This window comes from Homo sapiens, chromosome X (genome assembly GCF_000001405.40).
Source record: "Homo sapiens chromosome X, GRCh38.p14 Primary Assembly".
NCBI classification, from domain to species: Eukaryota; Metazoa; Chordata; class Mammalia; order Primates; family Hominidae; genus Homo; species Homo sapiens.
The window spans coordinates 132,459,201-132,478,736 of NC_000023.11; the positions used below are offsets into that span (position 1 = coordinate 132,459,201).

General features: G+C 35.8%; 1 protein-coding gene across 24 annotated transcripts in view; it reads right to left on the reverse strand.

The window, feature by feature from the left end:
* Positions 1-19,536, reverse strand: part of MBNL3 (muscleblind like splicing regulator 3) — a 120,716-nt gene that overhangs the window by 89,881 nt on the left and 11,299 nt on the right. The gene's annotated exons all lie outside the window — the stretch shown is intronic.

The following is a 19,536-nucleotide window of genomic DNA, read 5'->3' on the forward strand; positions in this document are numbered from 1 at the left end:
AGTTGTGTAAGAGTCTCCATATTTAAAACTATTTTTTCTTTCATTTGTTTTCCAAATATGTATTAAGTATTAGTACAAGGCAGTGGACATGGTTCCTGTTCTCATGAACTTTAATAGTCTAACAAACTATAATTTCCATGCCACATACTTAATAAACCTGTGTATAGAAAGAAGAGTACAACATAAATTTGATTTTTAAAAATATATTTAAAGGTCTTATAGGATTATGGAATGTGCTTCCTTAGAATGGGAGAAATCCTACTTATTCTGCGAGAGCCAGCTTTTGATTTACACCAAGTAAAAGGGATCAATGGGTACTCAAAACACTGTTCAAACAGACATCACCACCATGAACCCATTAAATTAAAGTTGTCTATTTCTGTGAACCCCTTCAGAGCAGAACCTAGCCTGGTGCCTAACACTTAATAGGCTCTCAGTCTACTTTTTATATATTTTTTTCCCTTTTGCAGGTGAGGAAACTAAGACCAGACCCAGAGAAGTGAAGAAAGTGTGTTGTTGTATACACTACAGAATAAGGTTTAGAATCACAAAGACCTGAATTTGAACCTCTGTCCAGATATTTAAACTCAGTATCTCAGTTTCCTAGCAGGAATAAGTCATATGACAGATGTGCAAATGCTTGGTGTGAGGTAGGCACTCAATAAAGCCAAGATCCCAGTTAATGACAGATATGGTAAATGGGCTGTTAGGAATTCAAAGAAAATGTTAAAAATGAGCCAATTATAGTATTTATTTGGTGTTTTAGGTTTGACTTCAGCCAAGGTGAAGCTTTAAATAAAGTGTGGGAGAGTGCAAGGGACCTAGACGGAAAAAAGTTAACAGTTGCCCAAGGGATAGAAAACAGAGCTGATGTAACAGCATCCTTAGAGACTATAGTAAAACTTACCCAGACAGTAGCAATGTCAATTAATTAAACAGGCAAAAGTTTTATATAATCAAAATAAATAAAGGTAGAGTGCTTCAAGATGGCACAAACAGAACAAATGAAAGCAATATCTTTTCCAGATCTTTTAAGATTAATTTTTAAATAAGTTCTCATGAAAAATTGGAAACTTTAAACAACTAGGTTCTTACTTAAGAGAACAAGAGAAACAAAATTAAATGTCCTAGAATTTTTTGAAACGTGTAACAGTTATCCCAGCATAGCAGAGTGGTTAAGAATAGGATTCTGGAGCCAGAAGGCCTTGATCATCATTCTACTTCTTACTGACTAATTGAAAACCCTGGGCAAGTTACCTAAATAATCTGTACTTCAGTTTCCTCATCTATAAAATGGTGGCAGTAATAGTATCTATCTCCTAGGGTTGTTTTGTAGATTGAAATTAGTTAATATTTGTAAAGGACTTAGAATACTGTCTGGCACAGAGTAAATACTAATTAAGTGCTTCTGAAATAAATCACCTGAACTTATCTCATTCAGTGTAGAAATAGAAATCTGACAAACCTTATTCCATTACTTTATAGTGGCTCAATTTTTTAAATTATTATTACTTTTTATTTCAACAACCTTTGAGGTACAAGTGGTTTTTGGTTACATGGATGAATTCTATAGTGGTGAATTCTGAGATTTTGGTGCACCCATTACCCGAGAAGTGTACCATGTGCCCAATATGTAGTCTTTTATCCCTCACTCTCGCCTCTCAATCTCCCACCATGAGTCCCCAAAATCCATTATATCACTCTGTATGTCTTTGCGTCCTCATAGCTTAGCTCCCACTTACAAGTAAGAACATACGGTATTTGGTTTTGCATTCTTGAGTTACTTCACTTAGAATCATGGCCTCCAGCTCCATCCAAGTTGCTTCAAAAGACATTATTTTGTTCCTTTTTATGGCTGCAATGACTCAATTTTTAAAAAATGATTTGTTATGTATTTGCTCTGAAGCCATCAAGGTCCTTATATAAATACTTACAAAATGATAAATTCTGGAGATGAACACGGATGAACAAGAAAAAAATAAAGACAAGTGGTTCATTTGCTTTCTGTTTTTCCAGAAAGATCTACAGGTAAAAGGTACAGAGAGATACACTTTAGCTCAACACAGTGAAGAGCCTTCTCACAGCTTGAGCTTTCCGAAAGTGTTTTGAAATGCTTTTCTGGGTGGTACACTCCTCTTCACTGGATTTCTGTCACACTGGCTGGGAAGTTGGGCTAGAAACCCCCAAACGACCACACAAGGCTAAGATACCATGAGTCAATAACTTATTATTATAGTATCAGAGAGGAAGTGCATTTCTAACCTGTATTCTAGGTACATAGCACTGCATTTGGCTTTTGGGTGACACAAAATGCATACAAGATAGTTTCTTCTCTCAATGAGCTTATAATCTAGTTGGGGAGATAATCTCACACCCCAAAAGTATCAGAGGCAGCATATGATTAAGTTCTGAATTTCACTTGCTTTTTTATTTAAAAAGAATATAAAATGACAAGCTTTGCCCTCTTAGAATGCACTCTCTTATCCAATGGCAGTATTTCTTGTAGATCACAATGACTGTATCTATGTAAACAAAAAAATAATCATTGCAAGGTTCCTATTTTCCTTTAGCATGAATGGGAATATGGTATATCTAACAAGATATCCCAAGTGCAAAGCACTACATTGATAGCAGATGATTCAGAAAATGCAAGAAATAAAAATAAAAATAATGAACCTACATATTTCTATTATACATAAGAATCTGTGCTTTTTATAGGAAGTTGAGTAGTTCAATCATGAATGCAAGCAGACCTGAAACTATGCATTCCCCCACATTTTTGCTTTAATATGAAAGCCTGAGTTACAGACTCACAATGTGGGCAGTGATGATCTACAGGCCAACTCCCTCATTTTTCAGAGAAGACAATAGGACTATAGAGGATAAATGACACAGTCACAAAGGGTGACAGAGCCAACACAAGAGCTCAGTTCTGATAACTGGAGTTGAATATTTTGTTCTACATTTTGGAGAAAGTTTAAATCTCAATCTCTTTCCCAATCTCAATCTCTCTCTCCCTCTACCTCCCTCTCTCTCCTGTTTCTCTTTACAGTTAAACTCCCAATTTTCATGGCATGATAATACATGTGGTCAAAGAACTAAAGCAACTATGTCTCTACTTAAAAACCATTCTATTTTTTTGAATGGGAAGTTGAAATAAATGTTTTCAAAAATTCAGTAGAAATAGACTATTGGCCTCCTTTTGCAAAGCAGACTGTAAAACTGCTGGGAATCTGCTAGAGAAGTTCACAGGTAATTTCACTATTTGATGCAAATTAGTTTTTATACCAATCCAAGCATCAAAGTCCACAAGAAAGCATAAGTTAGAATGAGTGACAAGCTGGAAGCTAGTTGGTGGAAGAGAGACCACTGCAGGACATTTTCAGAGACCAAAGAAAGACACAGCCACATGTCCACATATGTATACTATACTGTTAGAAACCAGTGTGTGTGGAGGGGTGAGTACACCTGCACTATGTGTGTGTGTGTGCATGCATGTGTGTGTGTGTGTGTGTTGTTATTTTTGGACATAGGTGTGGAATCTTATGTCTAATGGTCAAAAAGGAGCTAAAACTACTCACACACTGTATTCAATACGTGACACAGTTCTTTCCTATATAAAATTGCTAGAGCTTAACACTTCACCTGAAACCCAACTAAACCAGACTTTAGTTATTTAGGGCACTTAGAACTAGTAGCAAAACAATTAACTAGGGCAATAGAAGAGAAAGCTATAAGCAAAGAGCCACGGGAAGTTGTCCATAAGCATAGGGCCCAGAGCTTTTTAATAAACAAAAAAATTTTGAATAACGTAAAGAATCAAGTTCTCCTTTAAAGAAAAACTAAAGAAAGCACATGAGGTGATTTAAAACATTTAAAGTTTGGTGAAAGAAAAGTACTCATAATTACGCACTCTCATTTATTTAAAAATGCATACCAATCTGACTATACTTGGAAGCTGATTGAATATTTATATTGAGGCGGGGCGCCGTGGCTCATGCCTGTAATCTCAGCACTTTGGGAGGCTGAGGTGGGTGGATCACCTGAGGTCAGGAGTTCAAGACCAGCCTGACCAACATGGTGAAACCCCGTCTCTACTAAAAATACAAAAATTAGTTGGGCATGGTGGCTCACGCCTGTAGTCCCAGCTACTCCGGAGGCTGAGGCAGGAGAATCGCTTGAACCCGGGCGGGGCAGAGCTTGCAGTGAGCCGAGATCACACCACTGCACTCCAGCCTGGGTGACAGAGCGAAACTCCGTCTCAAAAAACAAACAAACAAAAGGAATATTTACATTGACCATTTTAATCATTAATTTTCATTAAAAAATCGAATTCAGTTGTGTACTATAAACCTATTCTCATTGTTATCCACACACGGCAAGCCCAGATGGTTACAACTTATAACCACGCACCACCTAGTGGCAGATAACAGAATTGCAAGCATAGTGGCTAGTTAAAAATAAGGAGTTTCGCACACAATTTTAAAAAAAAGTATCCCATAAAATGTTAAGAAATTACTAAAACCACGCCTTTTCAATGACTGCTTTTTCTCATTCTGTGGTATTTAAGATATACAGATTATTAGAACTCAATCAATTGCATAGCAATTCCTATCACTGTGTAAGATTTAGAAATAAATAAATTTCTCATTTATAATCTATCAAACAAACATGATCTGTATATGTGCCAAAGTTAAAAAAGGTTAAGCCATCACTGTCCCTAAAAAATTTGTCTGCAATTTTTAAGGGGTTAGGGGAGAATAATGTGGCATGAGATTATGAACATAAAAAATGGATGTATGAGAAAAATAGATTTTCTTCCTCTGTTTTATGAAAAGATAAAGCACAATATTGTTGGAAATCAGTAGAAATGTGAAATAGATTCATTTAATGAAAATACGGAATTAATTTTTTAATCATGGTTACTAAAAACCACTTTTGATAGAAACCATTTCAAAATACAAGTCCTTGTTTTTGTCTTGGTAAACAGCATATCGTAAACGGAATTAAAACTTTCTCTCATTACTAAAGAACGTGGTTATACTTTTCTTAACACTGAATCCTTGGTAAATTCAAATTTTTCCTAATAATCAAATACAAATAAAACTTCTGTCGACTGTGGGTTTCAGACAGTTGGGTTCTACTTAATTAATATTTCAATGCACCTGAGAAAATGTATCAGTAGCCCTCAGTGAAAAGAAATAATATGATCATACAATGTAAATAAATATGATGCTAAGTTAAAATCAAGAATATCTTCTCCTCACAATTGCAAAGGTTGATAAAATAACAGTAAAGAATGAAGGGGCTCTTGGTTTTCACATCTAGGTGGGAACTCAGAAGTGAAACTTAAAACACCAAAAAAACATTAATTCCATATGCCATTTCTTTACGAGCTTATTCGGGCCAATAGAAAAATCAGCAAGACCATTAGTGGTAAGTGGAATGGTGCTGTATCAACTAAAGATGTAACCACACAAAAGTCTTATTGTATTGACTATCCAAATACATTTTATATGCTAAGGAGAGGTAAGAAGAGCTTGTTTTAAAAACCATCTGGCCGGTGCGGTGGCTCACACCTGTAATCCTGCACTTTGGGAGGCCAAGGCACACGGATCACTTGAGATCAGGAGTTCGAGACCAGCCTGGCCAACATGGTTAAACCCTCATCTCTACTAAAAATACAAATAAAAAATTAGCTGGGCGTGGTGGCATGCATGTGTTATCCCAGCTACTTGGGAGGCTGAGGCAGGAGAATCGCTTGAACCCGGGAGGCAGAGGTTGCAGTGAGCTGAGATTGCTCCATTGCACTACAGCTTGGGTGACAGAGCAGGACTCCATCTCAAAGTAAATAAATAAATAATAAAAACTTTTTAAAAAGGGAAGTAAAACAGACTTTTTGGTGCTAAGCACATAGTAGGTTTTCAAAAATATATTAGCATATATAGGATTCTAATATACAGGCTATCAAAAAGCTTACCTCTGGTAAATTACTGTGTGTGTGCATATTTGAACATAGAAAACTCTAGGGCACATCTTGTAAGCTGTAAGCTACTATGTATTTATTTTGTTATGGTAGTGGTAATACTTTTAAATAAATTGGAATATTTGTTGCTCATTACACTATGAATGGTACAAAGCTAAACTTAACTTTAAAAGCTATGATTCTGGAAACAATACATGTGGTTGTTGGCACACACAAGTAACATTTATATCTGTATAATATTATCTTCTCTGTATTATAGCACAGGGTATTGTGAGCATTCACATTCACACAGCACTTGAAAATCCTCATATGATAAGCAAAGTATTATTGATATTTTTTAAAAGTTACACTGGTAAATCGAACCTTAAAAAGTTAGTGTTCTTCATCTTCGTTCTTCTTTTAGTCCACATTTCTATTTTTAAATAATGCACAAGTATTTTGAAGCATATATGATATTGATGACAGAAAAATAATTTTCCCTCCAAATACAAATGCATATTTATAAAAAAGTAAAAGGTGTACATGTAAACATTCAATGGTGACACCAGTTCATTTTAGACATTTCCTGAACAGGCTCCCTTAGACTGTTATCAGTGAGATATCTAATAATTCTTCAATCATATTTCTTTGAAAAAAGAGACTAAGAAGATTAATATTATGTGTTCTTTTACCTCACAAACAAACTCTATGAGTTTGGAAGTATTTTCACTGAGAGCAGATACTTATTTATGATGCTGACTCTGGTCCCAAAATAATTTTCTCACTGTGATAATTTCTATGACAAATAATTTTGATTAATATTGCAAGCCCATCATATACTACAAAAGTCCCTAAGTTCACATACAGTTCTTATTACAGCATTTCATTTATTGGAAAAATGTCAGGCAAGGAGATCCATAAGAATAAAATTTCAAAAAACAAAACCCTTATAAATTGATATTTGTCTCTTTTAATCAATCTTTGGAAATATTTCTGAAGTGATTTGTAAAACGTTGTTCCCCCTTAGACATAAGACAGTGAAAAAAGTAATGCTTTTTCTGATAATTCTAGGTTATCATTAGAAAGAAACTTCAGTAATGCCTTGAAGGATATATTGGGCACTTTGTTAAACGGCCCCAAATGCCTGTGTTTTTGGTGTCTTCATTTCCACTTTTTACAGTTTGTCTATCTTCTTCCTCACTGGCAGCTATTTATTGGCCATGACTTCACTATGCCTCTGCCTCTATTAATTCCCCCACAAACACACTGATTAAATTTCTGTGGTTTGCAAAGTCACATTCAATCAAATAAAGTGTAGCAAACAATTGCTTTGTGTAAGGTATTGAATCAAGAGTCTTTAAGATTTGGGTCTTAAAATATAAATGACATGGGCTCTTGAGTGATCTTAGAGAGGGCCTTGGGAGGTTCCCTATGAGTATGTTTTAAATGCTTAAGGGCCTGGCCTTCATGAGATCTACAGTGTCTGTTAGAAGCTGAGGTCTGGAAGTAGTATGCCATTTCTTTATGGGATACAGCTCTTCTCTCAGAAGTCTAGCTGATGTTTAGGAAGCAATCTGGGAAAAACTGTTCAGCAAAAGGCTGTGAATGTCACAGAGCACCAATGGCCTGGTCGGTGAGGCAGGGGGCTGACCTCATAGTAAACCATGAGCCAGGAATGACACTCAAAATGTTAAACAATTCTTATAGCATGGTCACAGGCAAATCAATACTGATGGTGTTCTGCCAAGTGTTGCCATATTTGTTGCTGAATCATGGGGGGTTGTCAGGGAGTGAGCATTGGAAAGGGTACTATAGGCAGTATCTATTTACTAACCAGTAAGGAAGTATTTCAATAAATATTCAATACTATTCAATACTATATGGCCATACACATGCATACTATCAGACTACTACCACACATTCAAATCCCTTGACATTATATGCACAAAATGAAGCGATATACAAGAGCTTAGTTGGACTTGAGTCAATGAGCAAGAGGGAGGATTAGATTTTCCAGGAAGCCAACTAGGAGAAAGCATAGTTTGCATGCCTAGAGAGAGACACAGCCCTCCTTAAGTCTAAAACACGACTAAAAGGCACGCCAATAATTAAGAAATACAAGGAAACTGGTTATTGCTGTTTCTGTTTATTTATCTTAGTAAAAGCTCTGGAGAATTAGTCACTGAACACATTAAAATTTCTAGAGATAATTACAGCAGGTTATAAAGACTATTTGTTGGTAAGTTTGTAAACCCAACTTAACTGCTTGTGCATTTTATTTAAGGGAAGTTCTGATTAAAAATTAATAATGATAATACACATAAGAACTATCATTAACTCATTTTCTTATTGGTGCTGAGGAAACTTTCTTGTGGATACAACAGTCATATGTTTACATTTAACAGCAATATATTTACATTTAATGGCAAAGATAAAATTGTGATCTAAGTACAATGAGACATTGTTAACAACTTGGTCCCAAAAGGTTAAAAGTGAAAAGTGAATCTCCTGTAAACCCCAGACTAAGTCGCACATAGTATAGCATCTTGTCCCAACAGGCTTCTGTTTTTCTGTGCCAAACTAGCTCCATCGCTCTTTTAGGCCATTTTCAATGTTTATACTTCTGCTTAATCTTGAAAATGACTATATATCATCACTGTACTGGAAATAATAAATATGAAGCAATATTGAAAGATGAAAGGTTATTAGTAACCTGCATCTGCACTAAGGCAAAAGCAATAATCTCAATGTTAATTTGTTATTATTCTAAATTACTTTGTATGTGTCAATTTTTGACCAAGCAGAACTCCCAAACACTGCCAAAAACATTTATCAGCAAGACAGACTGCAAGTCACCACTGAATTGTGGTCCCTAGACAGCATACTGGCCAATGATGCTACTGGCTGACTAAAATAAAATGCCCTTGTAAATCACAAGACTCGCAAACAGAATGGCATCAATGCAGTCAAAAAGTGTAAATCCAACACTGTTTATGCTTTATTTCCTGTGGATTTGTAACTATGCATCAAACATTTTAAAAGCACTGATCCTTTGGCATGAAATCATGTGTGAGCTATAGAGATTTTATCAAGCTAACTGATAGGAGATAGGCATGTGACATTATAAAACTCTGTGACCACGCAAAAGGAGCAGAAAGGAATGTCAACCGTGACCTCTTATTTTCAAGTACAGATACCAGAAAATCTAGCTGGCTTTTGGTGTGAGAACACTCAAAAACTATAGGTCCCTGTAAAAGGAACATTCAATTTCCAATGACTTGAATGTCATTTAACGGTGAGTGTGTATGATTTATGAAGAACAGACTAATAAAACATGGCATTTCAGTTGAATTGAAAATATAACAACAGAAAATATGCATGTGTTTTCCATGTGCAAGGCACTGTTTTTAGCACACTCGTATATATTAATTCATTTACTGCTCATAACTACCCTGTAAGGCAGGTTCCATTACTGTACCCATTTCACAGATGAGGAAACTGAGACACAGAGAGGCTAAGTAACTTGGTTCGAGATTATGCAGCAGATGAGTGGAAGAGCTAGGATCAAATTCAGGCATGTTCCAAAATGCTTACTGTCAATCACCACTCTGTACTGCCTCTAATGGGCACAAAAGTATACAAACATAATCTAAAATTTATACATGTTTGTTACCAGAGATTTTGGCACATTAAAAATCCAAGTACTTTCTATAAAATAATAAAGATTACTCAAAGTTCTATTACAATATAGTATCATTTCTGGAGGTGCCAAGGAATGTTAACAGCTCTATTTAAGTTTTATTTACAAACTATGTAATTGTACTATATGGATTTGATGTCAAAATACATGGGCATTTGGTAGATTAGAAAAATGCAGTTTAATTTCACTGTGTTAGTAAAAAGTGAGCATCTTGTTACTGGATGTGTTCAAATATAGAGAAGAATACCGTGGATGGGGTATCCATATCAGATAAGTGAATGAACTAGATCCAGACACAGAACTATACGCAGGGTTTCAGCATCCCCATCAAACATGTCTGCCCATCTCCACCTCAACATTTGTCACAGTGTAGTGTAACTCCTGCTTAGCTGTCTGGCTGACTGTGAGCTCCTTGAGGACACATCTTCATCTCTAGTGTCTGGCTCAATACTACATACAAATAAGTTGTCAACAAGTACATGCTAAACCAATGGAAGTTGTGCACATCTGTCATATGGAAGACATTGTGCTAGATGTTGGGAAGGCAATGATTTGGTCCACATGTAAGGCAGCACGGCCAAGTGCCCAGTAAATAGTGGGACCAAAAAGGAAGGCATCTGTAAGAACAGAGATAGTTGATGTGGGTCTTCAGGTAAGAAATCAACTGTTCCCATAAAGAACAAAGAATAAGTGGAATCCAAAGTTATTCCAATCCATTGCCTCTGTTTAAAAATAGATCAACAATCCCCTCAATTTAGCTATTGATTAAGTTTGTAATTCTAAAATGGGAATAATATAACATATATCATATCTAAGTCAGTACAATTCTTAATAACAGCTTTATTGCAATATAATTCACATACCATAAAATTCACCCTTTGAAAAAGTATTAATTCAGTGATTTTTAGTATTATTTAATAATATCTGCAACCATCACTACAGTCAATTTTATAACACTTTTACTCCCCCACCAAAGAAACCCCATTCCTCTTAGGCTGTGCTCCCACCCCTTCTTCCCTAAGCAGCCACTAACACTAATCTGCTTTCTTGTCCCTGAATTTGCCTTTTCTGGACATTTCATATAAATTGAATCATATCGTAGGTAGCCTTTTGTGTCTGCCTTTTTTCATTTAATACAATGTTTTTAAGGTTCGTCCATGTTGTAGCATGTATTCCATTCCTTTCTATTCCTGAATATTATTCCATTGTATGGGTATGCCACATTTTGCTTACCTGTTCATTAGTTGACAGACATTTGGGCTATTTCCACTTTTTGGCTATTGTGACTAAATCAGTACAATTTTAAAACAACATGATTAGGCTAAAGAAGGACATCTAAGGCAATAAAGGTAATGGTGTTTTGTGAGGCTCAATTTATAGAAAAATGTCTAATTCACTTACATTAACACTAAAATTAATTACTTACATGATCAGAGTTATATCCTCAGCACCTAGAAACATGGCTGACTCATAGTATGTGCTCAATAAAGTACGTTGAATGAATAACAAATGCAAAAACAAAAAAAAACACAAAACAAAAAAACTGAAAGGGGGATGAAAAGGAGAGTGAAATAGGAAAGTCCTAGGGAGCCAAATATCAGGGAAAAATCAAGCTGTAATTTCAAAAATGCTATAGTTCCTCTAGACATTTAACAGTTTACATTAAAGTCTCCTAAATGAGACATTCCTAGAAAAATATCAGGAACTAGCTCTGCTAAATAATAGTAAATCCCACCATAATACAACTTTTAAAAGTCTGAAACATTTAGGGTTGCTATTACTGACAATATTGTGCCAAACAGTCTTATTCTGTACAAATGTATTATTAATCAAATGATGCTTTCCCCCCTCCACTTCTAACAGTTTATAATTCTATAATTTGGAAGTGAATTGTAATGTCTGTCGCGTCTGGTGGTTCCAGATGTTTACTTCATTCAAGCAGCACTATCTTTATCCAGTGCCCAATCCTAGATGGCTAATACACTGTGGAAGTGACAAGCAGCAAACTCAAGTTCCCAATCAAACCTTTTTTTATATTTCCATAATATAACCATGGGGATTATAGGCATAGACCAATGTTAGAGCATCAAGTTCAAGTTTTGATGCTACTGTTTACTAGCAGAATGTCTTTTGGCATGCTGCTTCCTCTCTCTGAGCCCCATGTTCCCCATCTGTAAAAAGGAGATAAATAAGAACGCTAAATTCACAGGGTTGCTGTGAGGATTAGATGAGATAACATGTGCAAAGTGCTTACCACAGAGACTAGCACAGAGTAAGTAGCTGTTACTATTAGAAAAAAGTACAAAATTACATCACTTCTTCCCGCCACTTCTTAATATGATATCAATTATTTTCCCTTTTTTCTCCCTAGTGGATAGTTCTACAGTTAGACCCGCTCTGAAACTAAAAACTGGCTATCAATTAATATTACATTAAAATAAAAAGATATGATTAAATGATTTATTTTAGGTCAGTTATTACAAGGGAAAACACAAATGAAAAATTTTCACAACTGCTACACATCTATAATATAACTGGGCCAGGTGCAGTGGCTCACGCCTGTAATCCCAACACTTTGGGAGGCTGAGGCAGAAGGATCGCTTGAGCCCAGGAGTTCAAGACCAGCCTGCGCAACATAGCAGACCCTGTCTATAAAAAAAATTCTTTTTAACTAGCCAAGCGTGGTGGCACATGCCTCTGGTGCCAGCTAGCTACTCAGGAGGCTGAGGTGGGAGGATTGCTTCAGCCCAGGAGTTTGAGGCTACAGTGAGCTATGATCGTGCCACTGGCACTGCAGCCTGGGCCACAGAGTGAGACCCCCTTTTCATAAAATAAAAATAAATAAAAATACAATGTAACTGCAAGATACTACATAACTGTGGTTTAAATATAAGTTAAAGATGTTCCGATGTTTATTTGTGTGTGTACATGCTGCAGGGGGGAAGGGAAGATATTTAGCACTTAGGATGCCCTGTTACAAAGTCATAATACATACGTAGTCTGTAAATACACTTTGCAAACAAAAAGAAGACTTGCTATCTAATATATTTTGTTGCTGAAGCAATTTTCCAAGATTATAAGTATAGTGATTTCCTGGGCTAAGATTGCCTTGGGAGGATGCCAGCATTGATATGCTATAGAAGGTTAACTGCAGACATCACACACAACTGGTATACTGAACTTTTCTCCATGTATTTTGTAGATTTGCTTTTTTTCATGTGAAATTGTGTAGGCTTATTGACTAGAGTCAGATAAATTAGCGCCCTTCCCCTTTGTGCCAACTGCTCTACACATGTTAAGGGCACAATTTTCAATTTGAGTATTGGAAGAATCAAATTCCTGCCAAGAAAAGAGGATACAAAAGTTTGGATGTCAACGTGGATATTTAGGAACATTGATGCTGCACCAGGAACTGGGGCTAAAGGGCTAAATGTGAGCTTGCACTTTCAGACAAAAGGGAGGTCTGATGATGTACAGACACAAGAGAAATTGATTGGAATTTGAATTGGAAGAAGTGAATACCTCTCGAAGATCACAAGTCCTTCACACTAGGCTTCTCTATCTTTGAATAAGGCAAGGTACTTAGCATCCTAAAGTAAATGTTTCTCTCTCTCAACTAAAATGCAGCTGGGCAGAGATGGAGGCAAAAGCTTTTTACTGAAAAGCCATCTTAAGACATTTTAAGAGGGATATGTTTGGAAATACTCTCTCATCACTCACTTGTGTCTTCCTTGCTGGAATTTTTCCACTTTAAGCTCAACAAACAACTCGTCATTTCTTTGGTATTTATTGTAATATTAATCATACAGACACATACCCCCCAAAAGATAATGCAGTAAAGACTTTTGGGGAAAATACATCTTTTCTATAGGTTTCCCATTTTAATTCTCTTAATTTCATTGTGTAAAACTTGTTAAAAATACTATTTTACAGAGGAAAAGGATTCTGAGAATGTTGATTATTGATACTATCCAAACCCAAAAAGGATCTGTTTGCAAATTGAATTTCTTAACTGAATCCAGTAAATAATCATCATAATATTAAACCAGAGTGCAGATCCTGAAAGAGGGACTAAGATTCCTATGAGGTGTAGCTAATTGGTAACACAGAACACGGACTTTGAGGGGATATCACACTAAATTAATTAGTTCAGAGATGCACTGAGTTCACAACTTGATTACAGGGCTGGCTGATTCCCTCAAAACAATAGCCTTAATTTAAACCAACCATATAAACTTGCCTTCCTTTGCAATCCTTCCAATTATCAAGCAAACAGTTGCAAATCGTTGATCATGGGCTTAATAAGCTCATTCATGCTATTATTTCAGAATTTAAACCTGCTGAATATTTTTACTTCAACAAAGTAAAACTATATCCTCCATAATCTAAATGTAAAGCCATTTGATTTGCTTCTCTATATAGGATACTATAAAAATCTATTTTCCCCAGTATAAAATGATAAAGAATTTATACTAGAAACCATAAACAAAAAATTAAAAGCAAAATTCCTGTATTCATTTTAGAAATGCATTTAAGAAACATTTTTCTCTAGCATTGGGGAAATATTTTAATCTAAAGTCCTGTTGATTTTGTGCAATCTGTTCTCTTGGCATGAAGATGCCGTTAATCTACTTTGATTCCTATTGATAGAGTATTCTTAAATTCTTATCAACAAGTAATATTTGCACAGTAACTTGAAATGCAGCATAAAAAGCTAAAAGCTGAAATTTAGAAGAATAAACACACGCACACACACACACGCACACAAAAAAAACCCATATGTATACATATGTTTATATATATTTTTAGGAATGTAGCCTTAATGCAATTTAATTCTCAGAATGTGGTATTTGTTTCAACCTCAATTCTCAGGCATTCCACCTAGTATATCTTTTTTATCCTAGACCATGTGGCAAAATAAACACAGTTTTGAAAACGCTGGTTTAGATCATTAGTATCTCTACAATATAACTTCAAAGATTTAAGTTTTTCAATGTATTTGCATTGAAAATTCGCATCGTTTTCCGCTTCAGAGTAAAAAGAAATTTGCAGAACCTCAGAGCAGCATCACCTTTTGTTTGACTAGAATCAACCTAGACATTAAATTCAAAGCTTAAGGTAGAGAAGGTAGAGATATTTTCTATCAATAATCATAAGCTTCTAAGAAAAGAGGAAATATATTCTTCTAGATGGGAGAAAGGGGATGGTGATTAAAATGAGGGGAATTGAACCAGACCTGAGGTTTGTTATTTTTTTTATTTTTACAAGTTGAAATATAAAATCCATGAAAAACTGAAGTTGTCAGACGCAACATAAGGGAAGTAATGTCTATGGTAAATTTCCAAATTTATGAAAGACACTGAATCCTAGTGTAAAGGCAAATCAGAGTAAACCTATATCCTCTATAGTTACATTTGAATTCTCATTTTTATAGCTTTCCCCAACCCTCTCTTTCATTTTCATTGAGTATGTGCTGTAAAAAGATGTCAGTCACATTTTCGCTATTTCAGTAGCACTGTCTTGCCTCTGAAGCCATTTAAAAATAATCCTATCTGTTATTTTAGCTGAATTCCACTGTCTTTCCCCCTCCTCCTTTTTTGTTTTTGGTTGTACCTATCCCAGTTCTTTTATGACAATCCTAATCCTCCACCTTAAAGGCAAAAAGAATAAAGAGGACCCAAAATTCAGGCTCACCAGAGTTCTGTATGAATTACTTGATCAGACTGCACAATTAATACTGTGCATATTAACAGAGATGTTGCGCAAGTAGGGCAGCCACTCAGAACATATTCCATGCTTGACAGACATTTTCAATATTCTCTTCTGCTTCCTTCTCATCAGCCAGTAAGCACATCTAAGTCATCTCTATCCTAATAAGAAAACCCTTCCTTCCCTTGATGCAATTTCCTTTTTAAGTTCCAACATATCTCATCCTTCATCATCATATATCTGAAAAAAAGTCATCATTACCACTTTCACTTTCCAACTTTTCACTTACTCCTCAACCCACTGGAAACCAGCTTCTTGGCTCTCAAAAATCACCAACAACCTTTTCAGTGCCAAAACCAGTGGCCTCAACTTACATAATTCCTGTGGTATTTGTTGATTGCTCCCTCCTTTTAGAGACTTTCTTTGCCCTTTGCTTCTATAACAAAAAAAAATCCTCCTGTGTTGCTCAACTTGGGCTGTCCTGGCCACTCCTAGGGGTGAGGGATTAACTTCCAACATCTTGCCTTGTTATTTTCTCTGCATTCTGGACAAGTTTAATCCAATTTTGTTCTAGATTTTTCTACATGGCTTTCACTAGCACTTAACTCCACATCATTTCACACTCCTGACCCCTCACTCTTCATCCACCTCTCAAGCCTCTTCCTGTTTCTCCTATCCTACTGTAGCACCATCCATCAAACAGTGAAAGCAGCCTTTTGTTACATCAAGATGGGTAACAGATTAGTGTTGGCTTGATTTATAATGAAATAAATATCTTCATGGATGGAAGAGGCAGGCCATGGGCCATTAGATGGTTCCCAAATGATGAAGCAAGACAGAGAAGAAATGATTGTGTGTTGGGGGGTGTGTTTTATACAAAAAGTGAGCAGGGACTTGAGGATGCAATTTTTAGCCTGATATCTATTAGATGCCAAAGAGAGTATTTGCCCAGCTAGAACCAACTGTATTTCATAACTTAAAAAAACTGTCATAACAAAATGAAAGTACCTAGCAGAGCATCTGGCACACAGTAATTGTTCAATAAATGTCAGTTGACTCTGAATAAACACCTATTACAGGACGTTTTTATTGGGTGTGAAAATGGGGGTTCAAATTTTATTCCTATATATAAACTCCTGCCTACAGATACTAAGATTGATTTAAAAGTATAATACATTCCTGGAGGTGAAGGTGGTTGTAAACACTGTTTCTCCTGCCACCCAAGTGCCACAAGAGCCAAAGTCAAACTGCCTGGGCCTGCCAGCATAAGGAAATGTCAAGGGAAGTCTCAGGCCTCTAACATCTTACATGGTTAAATTCTATACCATTATTCACACCAAGCCAATCAGAAAGGGACCCTTAACAGCACAGAACCCATAGATTTTTACTGTACTTTCTGACTTCCTATTTCTTAAGTCTTTCCTGCTCTAGAAAGCAAAAAGTATAAAGTCTCAGAAGTCTGGATGCATGCTTCACAAGAGTCTCCTTATAGGGGTCCAAGGAAACCTTACTTATTTTCACTTAAAAAACCTGCCATTTCAAGAGGGTTTTATTTTCTTCTGTTTTAATGATTATCCAACATGAGGAATAATATGAGCCAGAGCTCCTCTCCTGGATCTGAGATGATCAAGTGTTTTTTTTTCAACATGATTATATTTATTTTTATTTTTTAAAAAATGTTGTGAGTACATAGAAGGTGTATATATTTTGTTTTCCTTATGTCCAAATCATTGCAGGCTTCCTGAGAGTGCTAATGGTTGCAATTCTTGGGAAGAAGGGGTTTCCCTCACTTACTAGTTTAGGGAAAACTCTGCTAACAGCAATACAGCATTTCAACCTTCTTTTGGATTTCATGAAAATGAGGAATGCGGTATAAGGAGTTCTCCAAACAAAATGTTAGGAAACCATGCAGCTCTTTCTCTCCTTCCTTTCTCCTCCTCCATTCTACAAGAAAGTTTGCCTTGACAGTCTCATTGCCTACTGAAGGAAATTTCCACTTACAATAAACAAAACAAACTCACCTGTCAAAGGTCTTGAGTTCCATGTATACCTTAAAGTTTCAAATGTAATATTATATAAAACGTCACAATATTTCCCAGACAGCCTGATGAAAGTTAGAGTGCTGCATGAAATGAATGATAAGTTGGTGTTTAGTTGGCTTGAGCACTCCCTCTCACAGAGCTTTTGCTTATCACTATTAATTTGTCAAGCATCCCATAACAAAAAAATCCCAGAAGGCTAACGTGAAAAAGGTAGCTGACACCCAAAACAATGACTAATTTTGTTTGCCTAGAACAGTCAACTACATGCTTGTTACAGCTGAAAATCCTGAATAACTCACACTCAAACCCCCCACACCTTATTCAACTGACTCTATACTACTCTGTACATGTTTACAGTGAAACAGATGCTTATGGGCAAAGGTATCCTATAACCCCCCAAAATATGTATTACTGCTTTCTAAAAAGCTTTAACATCAGAATAAGAAAGAATTAAAACCTTTAGCTCTCAGGATCAGAGCATGTATGCAATTTCACCCTTCAACATTTTTTAGTTTTTATCGTCATAAACAGAATAACGGGTTTTGTTGGTGATGATGTAACCCTTTATTATGGTCCTTAATTTGTTTTACATCTCATTTCATAAATTGATTGCTAATTACACAATCAGTAGATCTGTAAGTCTTTTTCTATTCTTAATCTTTAAATGTATTATATCTGAGGAGGGAGATACAAACTCACAATGACAGAGTTTAGTCACTAACTCATAAGAAGCTGACATTACATTTTCAGAGCAGTAACTTCAGTTTAACATTTAAATATCTATAAAGCCTTATTGTATGTCAAGTCTCAAAGTTGAGGAAGCAACAGTGCTTTAAGGCTCTGAAGGATGTCCACAGGAAGAGACTTTTGGGAAAGAATTCAATATGTCCCAGGCAGAAAGAGATTTAATGACAATGGGAGGGAACTGCAGGAGAGGTGAGGGTGAAGACAAACTCCTCATGATCCTACTGGAGATGCAATAGTACCCCCGGAAGGCAATATTTTCCTCCCCCTGACAATTATTTAATTCTAAGGAATATGCACAAATTGGCCAGACTTCTAAGGCCAGACTTCTCCTAATGGGTTGCATTCAGTAGTTAATCTCTTATCTGTTCATGTGAGTGAATCTTATGTTTTCCTACTACTAGGCTCAATACTCATTAGCACAAAAAAAGTGATTGGAAAGACTATGTGGCTATTTTCTTCTTTATTTCTGTAATCTTTCCCATTAATATTTTAGGTATATTTAACAGACTTTCAGCTTATGCCTCATCTACAATTTTAAAATTCATTTTAAAGTGTGCCTTTGTTCACCGCAGAAAAAATAGACACCCACAGGTTTTTTTCCCAGCATAAACATTTATATTTATGAATCAGCTTGTTTTCTTCTTGCAAACACATTCTCTTGCTATGACCATTTTTGATTTATGAAAATCAAAAACAATTTTTGAGCCCTTTAACTTATATTTAACTTATTAAAATGAGCTTGATTTTCTTCCAACATTTAAAATTTTTGGATAATTCTTTTGCCATTCGAAGCACCTCACACCCAATTGTCCCAAGGTTTTTAGTTGTCATTTTGTTGTTGTTGTCGTTGTTAAACATCCGTTTTTGGCTTTTGTTCCCAGATAGTTTTATTTTCAGTGTCCCAATGTTCTAGCAATAGCACTTAGTAAATACATAATATATAAAGTTTCTGCCTTCAGGATTGCAAAATACCTTGGACATTAAATCTTATAGCACATCTATAGCAATATCTTACTGTTCAGTTTGAAAAGCAGACACATAACTATCAGGGTACTGAACCAACAGCACTAGGTATGTTATCATGAAAGCCTTCAGCATCCCTTGACCATCTTCCCTTCAAAAAAGAGAGGAAAAATATTTCTGACACAGAAATAACATCCACTAAAACACTGACTTTTAAACCTTTCTGACGGCAACAAATAGTAAGAAACACACTTTACATCCTAACTCAGTAACAGGTGCATGGATTTGAAATAACAGTCTCACCCAATATATCTAATCTTACTACATGACACATGTTGATATTTTCTTACTGTCTATTTAATGCAATTCTGTTTAATAGAAATGCTAGTCACAACCTACTAAATGGATTT